The following is an 8209-nucleotide window of genomic DNA, read 5'->3' as shown; positions in this document are numbered from 1 at the left end:
TCATGTCAGGTGTCAGAGTAGTGGCTTTCAACCCAGCATTGATTAAACAGGACAGATATTCATGAAATCATGCCAAAGCAGTATGATGTAGCATACCCACAGGTCTATATATCACCATGTATGCACTTATCCTAATCATAGACACTGACTAAGCATCTATGCTGGGCCAGTTATATGGATAGAGAGACATGATTCAGAATATTCAAGAAAGATTTTGAATAACTTTCCTCTTTTTAATCCACATTCTAGTCCAACTACTATCCTGTATCTCTGCTCCCTTTTGTAGCAAAATTCCTCAAACTACATATCTATGCATGCACTCTACTTTTCTTCTCCAATTCTCTCTCGAACTCTCTCCAAACAGACTTTAACTCTGCAACCCCCTGGACACAGCTATTGTCAAGGTTCCCAATAATCTCTATGTTGCTAAATCCTGTGGTCGATTTGTTTCCTCACCTAACTTGTCTTAAATGCGTAATGCACATTTTTCTTTTCTTCTGGAAACACTTTCTTAACTTGGCTTAAGCCAAGTTGCTGGCTATTCCTTTACAATCTCTTTTCCTTTTTTTTTTTTTTTTTTTTTTCTCATCTGCTCTACCTCTAAGTGCTGCTGATCCCAGGGCATGGTCCTTGGCCCTCCTCTGTGTTGATAGGCATTTGAGTCATTTCTACCTTTTGGCTACTGGTACTATTGCTCACTGCCTATGTGATCTTCAGTCACATGCCTATAAATAGTACCTATATTGTTTCCAATTTTATATTTCACCTGAATTCCAGATTTGTGTATCTAACTGCCTACTCAACATTTCTATTTGCATGTCTAACCACTATGTCAAACTTAATGTCTCCAAAATTGAGCTCCTCCGTCTTCTCACCTTCACCCCCTCTGCACCTGTTCCACCAAAACTAGCTTCTCCTGCAGGATTCCCCAGCTCAATTAGTGAAAATTTCACTCTTAACATTTTCTAAGTCAATAACCTTGGACTTATTTTAGACTTCTCAGTCTTCCTACATTTCACATCTGATCCAACAGCAGACCCTGCTGGCTCTACCTTCAAAAATATATCCACAACCTGACTCTTCTCCTCACTTCTGCTTCCATCACTGGTCCAAGCCTTCATCATCTTCACCTGGAATATTGTAAAGGCCTCCTTTCTTATGCTCTTAACCTGTGCAAACTCTTCTCTGAAGCCAGCAGGATCCTGTGAAAATGTGAATTTCTTTTTTCTGCTCTGCTGCTCTAAACCTGCCTGCAGCTTCCCTTTTCACTCAAGTCCTTAGATTGGTTTGCAAGGCCCAACGGTGTCTTTTCGTAATTCCTCACCCATTACTATCTAGTTTTATCTCTTGCTTCTCCCTCTGTCACTCTTTTCAGTCACACTGGTCTCCTTACATTTCCTGGGACATTCCAAATGCATTCCCATCTCAGGGCATTCACATATGCTGTTCCTTCTCAATGGGAAACTTACTAAAACACAAGCATGTTCACCTTATGAGCAAAGCCTGCCCTTGCAACCATATATAAAGTAGCAATATTTCCCATCTACTTCACACTCTATTCTCCCACCTTATTTTATTTTACTCTATGACACTAACCATCTGACACATTCTATTTTTATTTTTTTTTAATTGCCTGACTTCCTCCTTGGAGTGTCAGCACCAGGTATGAAGGTATGTTGTCTGCATTGTGCTTGGTTTTATCCTAAAGCAACGCTGGCACAGACTAGATGCTTAATTAACATTAAGTACATGAAAGAACAACTTGAGACAAGTGAAACTTCCAGCTCTATCTGGGAAGATGAATATAATTTAGATAGTAATGGAATGTATTAGCCTTCCACGTAAGTATACATAAGTGCCATTTGAAAAATATAAACACTATACTAATGATTTAAAGATGGGATAGCAGAGCGGAGGAGTGAGCCTCAAGGGAGGTGATTAGCCAAAGGAAAATACAGGCCTTTGCTAAAGAATATCTTTCAAACACTTCTTAATAATTTTTATAATGAAAATACAAGGGTTTGATTTGTATGTCTCATAAAAATTTTCTCAGACCAAAGTGGCAGCATTACTGCTGAAGCCACATCTATGACAGCATACAGTTCCTGGAGCACATAAGAGTCCAACCATTAGGAATGGCCTCTCCTCTGAGAATCACCCAGTAGAACCCAACCAGAAAAAGACTTAACAGTCTCTTCAGATCAAGGCTGTCCAAACTTTGGGTAAGGCAAAGTGAATATCCATTGCTCTTTCTCCATGCAACCATGCAACATTGGCTTTCTCCTCCCAGAGCCACCCAAAGACAATCTTGGAAGTTGAGACAGGGAGATGTGTTTTGCTAGTGCACACTTATTTTCCACGTGTAGAGAGAGAGAATGGGGGCATCCCTGTACATAATTGGATTAACCACATTTTGTAGTTTTTCTATCTGATGATTTGTTGCTTGATGTAATGTCTATGTGACATGGCTGAATTTCTACCCTGCCTTAACTCTGCTTAATCTTAAGAAACAAGATATCTATTATAAAAAAAAAAAAAAAAAAACTTCCTTGTGTAACTAGACCAGCTGAGACTGGCTAGAACCAAAATAGCCCTCCAAATGACTCCAAAAAGATCTCAGACTTCATTATAATTTCATTTCCATGCTAAGTGACATTCCCACCAGTGCCATGACAGTTGACAATTGCCATGACAACAAACAGAAGAAGCCATAAAAAGATTAAAAGGAAGGCAGCACTCTAGCTCTGAGAAGTTCACTGCCCATTTCCAGAAAAGATATGAATATTCCTCCCCTTGCTATTAATGTCCAACTCCTTCATTAGAGATACCCTATATTTAACCCCCTTGCCCCTCACTAGTCAAGAAGTTGATTTCTGAGCTATACTCTCAATTCTCAATCCCATGGCCATTGAATAAATCTTGCTCTGCTTGATGCACACTTTTGGTTGCATGTATTGGCTTCTTGATACCAAACAGAGAAAGACCCTGTCTTTGGGGGACCGGCCTTATCAGTAACATTTTGATGTCTGAGGTTTTGCTGATTAGGGAGAGACTGCCCCTCCAGTGGTTAGCGGACCCCTAGAGAGAGCAAAGGGGTTTCTCATCAAGTGTGCCTTCATATGCAAACTAACCAGTTAAAAGCCCACACCCCTCATCTGCCTCTTCCTGCACCATGGATACTATTCCCCTTCATTAGTCAACCCAGGGCTACTGGAGACAGGGTAAGGGCCTACACTCCAGCTGACTGAAATCATTCAAACTAGCCAACCCTGAACCTGCTTAGCCTGCTTACCTTGCGCCACCAATTCCTTCCCCTGAAAACCACAATAATGCCTTTTCTGAAGTGTCCTCCCCTCTCTCTGCCTGTGACCAACCTCAGTGTTCTCTCTTGTGGCCCTACAGGGCAAGATTCCCTCCTTTTGGAAACTGTGAGTACTAAACTATCTTTTCAATGACAATTGTGTTCTCACCTTCTGGCTTCATTATTCCTGAATACAAACGAAATCCTGGGTACATTTTTAAACAATCATTTACCTTTCCTATGCTTAAAAACTAAACTATCCACTCAGACATTTTGCAATTGTACGTCAATGCAAGTGTCCTAAAACAAAGTGACATCCTTTCCTCCTGATATTGGGTTGGCTGTATAGAAATGATCACAAATTCTTATAAAACTCATCCCAGCAATGCTTCAAGCTGACACAATTTCAAAGCCTGACAGTGCCCCTTTGAACTTGCCTCACACAAAAGCTAGACTGCTTTATCCATGAACCTGCTTAGCAGTTGCGCCAGCATTGCTCTACCCAGTGACTTCTCTGTCACCTCTTCTTCACTTAATCCTTACTCTTTCTGTCACTAGCAGATCCATCTCTATTTAGCTCCACTCCTCCATCTCACTGCCCCCACACTTCTTTCCTACTCCCACCCCTGCCTGCCCTTAATGCAGCCCCAGGGTGCCCTGTGCAGTATCATTTGTGATTGTGAGGCAGGAGAGGGTCTGGTACTCACATCTGTTGAGGCAAAGCTGACCTGTAAGTGCATGGTCTCCTAGGTAAATCAGGTATAGCCAGAAATAACCCCAATTATTAGAGACATTATTAAAACTAAGAAACTATGCAACTTCTGTCCTGAATCTGCCCAACAATTATCTCAGGAGACAGTAAAACTGAAAAGACATCACACATCCTAAATTGCTATTTGTGTATGTAAACGGAGCATGGGTGGGTGGTTCTAGAGTGAGAGCTCGTGTCTCACATGAAGCCAAATACAGTTACAATTGAACTTTTTCCCTGCCTCTTTTTTTTTCTTTTTTAGCAAAAATGAAGACAAACGTCTTTACAATGTAGAGTTCTGAATTTAAGCATTAATTAATTTTGTAGGATATGTTAACATCCAAAAGTTACTCTCACTAATGATTTACTCTTAATATGATAAGAAAATGCCAAGATCCTTTGAAATCAGCCATGGAATAGGGCAGTTGCCCTTTTTGTGTAAGGTTGCCGATGCTCCAAAGGATGCTCATCATCTGCCAGGTTATGCTTATGGAAGGCTGTCATTTCAGATGCCCCTTAGAACCTCATTCCTCAATTGTTCTACTTTTGATTGATCCTTGGCAATCTGCTTAGAAGGATGCAAAACATCTACAAAGGAAGATGTTGACAGGGCAGTGTGGCGAGGTGGGTGACTTTTCTACATATTCTTTATATTATCCAAATCATTTGAAACTGGGGTCTTAGCAAAATAGCTAGAAGTACACTATATGGAAGAATTCTACTCTGGCCTCTAGAAAACAGATGTAAGATTCTGTCTATTTTCCATTTTAATTGGATAGTTTTGATTGAGTTGATTTGAATAAAATTTGACAGACTGACCAGTGTTTTGGCTAAGTTAATAGACGGTTTGGAAAACACTTTCTGTGCCTCATTTTTCTCATGGAGATAATAGTGGCTCTTAATTTAAATAGCTGTTGAGAAGATTGAAAGAGAAATTAATGAAGAGTACTTAAAACACAGCCTGGAGCTTAGTAAGTGCTCAATTAATATTAGCTATTAATATGCATGCTGCCTGCAATGGATTATTGCTAAGCATCTGGATTTCTCAAGATCCTTTCCAAATATAACTAGGATTTCTAAGTTATTTAAAATAGGTTGGAATCTGAGCCATCTGAAATGACCTATATATAGTCAATCAGTTGACTGCTATGTCCTGAGTGGCCTCTGTATACAAAGCAAGATAGTTTGAAATGGAGAAATTGTATCAGAAATAAAAACACAATATCTATCATCAAAGCACACACAAGTTAATTGCCAGATAAAACTTCCCAGCCCTAGAAGAGTTTTTCCAAATGAAAATATTTTTAAACATTTATAACAGTCCCAAGTTTTATGACTGTAATCTGCTCAGTAAAAGGAGGATGGAGAAAACATAGAATACCATTGTCTTTCTAGCCTGTAGAAAGTTTCAGTCTCTTTTTCTTAGAGTTTAGCATCAGGGAAAAATATGGGTCTTTTCTCATTGATGAACAGTATACTTACTTTCATCATAAAGTTAAAAAGATTATAGCCTTTTGAAACTAGAGAGTACTGGATTGAAATTCCATTTCCATTCTTTGTTTCCTGTGTATAAATTGTGGATAACAACAGCTCCCTCAAATGAGTGAGATGGGAATTCCTTGAGATATTATGTATTTTAAAAACCTAGCATAGTGTGAGGCATAGACTAAGTACATGATAACTTTCACTTTTCTATAACTTCTTTCCTTCTTTTATATAATTTGTCTTTCCTTTCTTTCTTTTTTTTTTCCTTGTCAGTAGGCTTCAGGTAGAATTCAATGCTGAATCACAGTAATTATATTAGCTTTTCCTCGGTTATATTTCTGCATTTCTCTACATCAGAAATATTCAAACTAGGATCCATGAATGTACTTAAAGGGGTCCATGAAGAATCCCTCAGATGCTGTTTAAGAGATGGAATTCTCGCTCTGTCACCCAGGAGTGCAGTGACACAATCATAGCTCACTGCAGCCTCAAACTCCTGGGCCGAAGCAATCCCCCAGCCTTGGCCTCTCAAGTAGCTGGGACTACAAGAATGCACAATCATATTCTGCTCCTTTTAAAAATTTTTTGTAGAGACATGGTCTCATTAAGTTGACCAGGCTTATCTCAAAATGCTAGGTTCATGCTATCTTCCTGTATCAGCTTCCCAAAGTGCTGGATTGCAGGCATGAGCCCCTGCACCCCACACCCTCACTTTTTGATTTTTATGTACTATGTGTTTAGGTTCATTATTCTGGAAAGAAGGCCCATAACTCATCATCAAAGATGTCAGTGTACAAAAACCTTTAGGAATAAATGTTCAAACTTTGTTGTTGTTGTTTTTTCTCTTGTTTGATTTTTTAGAGACAGTGTCTCTCTCAGTTGCTCAGGCTGGATGTAGTGGCACAATCAGAGCTCACTGCAGTCTTGAACTCCTGGACCAAAGCAGTCCTCCCAACTTAACCTCCTAAAGTTGTTGAATTATAGGCGTAAGCCACAGCATCAGCCAAAACGGTTTTTGATCTTCTGTTTCTACTATAATTATTTCAAGTTTTTTCCTATCAGTTGATATGGTTTTGGCATGTCCCCAACCAAATCTCATCTTGAATTGTAGCTCCAATAATCCCCACTTGTTGTGGGAGGGACCCAGTGGAAGGTAATTGAATCATCGGGGTGGGTTTATCCCATGCTCTTCTCATGATAGTGAATAAGTCTCATGAGATCTGATGGTTTTATAAAGGGCAGTTCTCCTGCACATGTTCTTTTGCCTGCTGCCATGTAAGACATGCCTTTGCTCCTCCTTCGCCTTCTGCCATGATTGAGGCCTCCTCAGCCACGTGGAACTGTGAGTCCATGTGGAATTTTCCTTTATAAATTACTTGTATTGAGGCCTCCTCAGCCATGTGAAACTGTGAGTCCACTTTCCTTTATAAATTACCCAGTCTGGGGTATGTCTTTATTAGCAGTGTGAGAACAGATTTAGGATTTAGGAAAGGCAAATGTTAATATTAAGTAACTAATTAATATAACAAATAGATGCTATTTCCATTCTTGTTGTATCAATTTCTCCTTTCTACTTAACAACAATCAGGTCTATGGGAAAAACAACAAGAATGGTTTGCTGTTACCTCTGCTTTTGTTACATAATTCATAACTATCAATTATTTGGAGATTGCTTGCTGCTGCCAAATGTTTTATGCTTTTCCTGAGGCCATGAAGTAGTAAGCAGAAGTAAAATGAATTCGTCTTGGTGTCCGCTATCACACGGCCTATCCCAGAAACATGTATGTTTATTTGAATCAATTTAATTAAAATCATAATCCATCCTTGCCATATATAAAACATATATAGTAAGATAAACATATTTTCAAACAATAGTGACATCTGAGTTACTTCACAAAGTGGTTTTTTTGGTGAAAATGTTTTTCATTATTTATTCAATTAATATTAACAAAGGGGGCCAGGCACAGTAGTTTACACTTGTAATCCCAGCACTTTGGGAGGCAGAGGCAGGACGATCACCTGAAGTCAGAAGGGTGAGACCAGCCTGACCAACATGGTAAAACCCCATCTCTATTAAAAATACAAAAATTAGCCAGGTGTAGTGGCACACACCTCTAGTCCCAGCTACTCAGGAGGCTAAGGTAGGTGAATCACCTGAACTCAGGAGGCAGAGGTTGCAGTGAGCCGAGAACATGCCACTGCACTCCAGCCTGGGCAACAGCAACAGTGAGACTCTGTCTCAATAATAATAATAATCATAATCATAATCATAATCATAATAATGAAGGTATTATTATGGGCCTAGAACTGTGTTAGTACTGCATATAATTGGAGGGCAACATTTTTTTTTCAGTTTTGTTGAGGTATAATAGAGAAATTAAATTATGTATGTTTAAAGTATACTCTGTGATGATTTGATATACATATACTTTGTGAAATGATTACCAAAACCACTATGAAGTTAGTTAACATATCCCTCATTTCACATAGTTATCCTTTTTTGCATATGTGGTGAAAACTCTTAAGATTTATTCCCTTAGCAACTTTCAAGTATATGACACAGCATTGCTAACTATGGTCACCATGCTGTACCTTCAGTCCCCAGAACTTACTCATCTTTTAAATGAAAGTCTGTACCCTTTCACCGACATCTCTCACCCCTGATCCCTGCT

The 8209-nt window shown here is 39.2% G+C and overlaps 1 annotated feature.

The window, feature by feature from the left end:
* Window positions 2601–3411: an enhancer, noted in NCBI's record as "OCT4-NANOG hESC enhancer chr11:106197827-106198637 (GRCh37/hg19 assembly coordinates)". NCBI's record gives its function as "activates a minimal SCP1, AML or CMV promoter by ChIP-STARR-seq in naive H9 embryonic stem cells {active_cell/tissue: H9 hESC(naive)}" and the evidence as "EXISTENCE:reporter gene assay evidence [ECO:0000049][PMID:30033119]".

This window comes from Homo sapiens, chromosome 11, assembly GCF_000001405.40.
Source record: "Homo sapiens chromosome 11, GRCh38.p14 Primary Assembly".
Lineage (NCBI taxonomy): Eukaryota > Metazoa > Chordata > Mammalia > Primates > Hominidae > Homo > Homo sapiens.
Note: the sequence above shows the minus strand (reverse complement) of the source record. Positions and strands in the feature narration are given on the sequence as shown.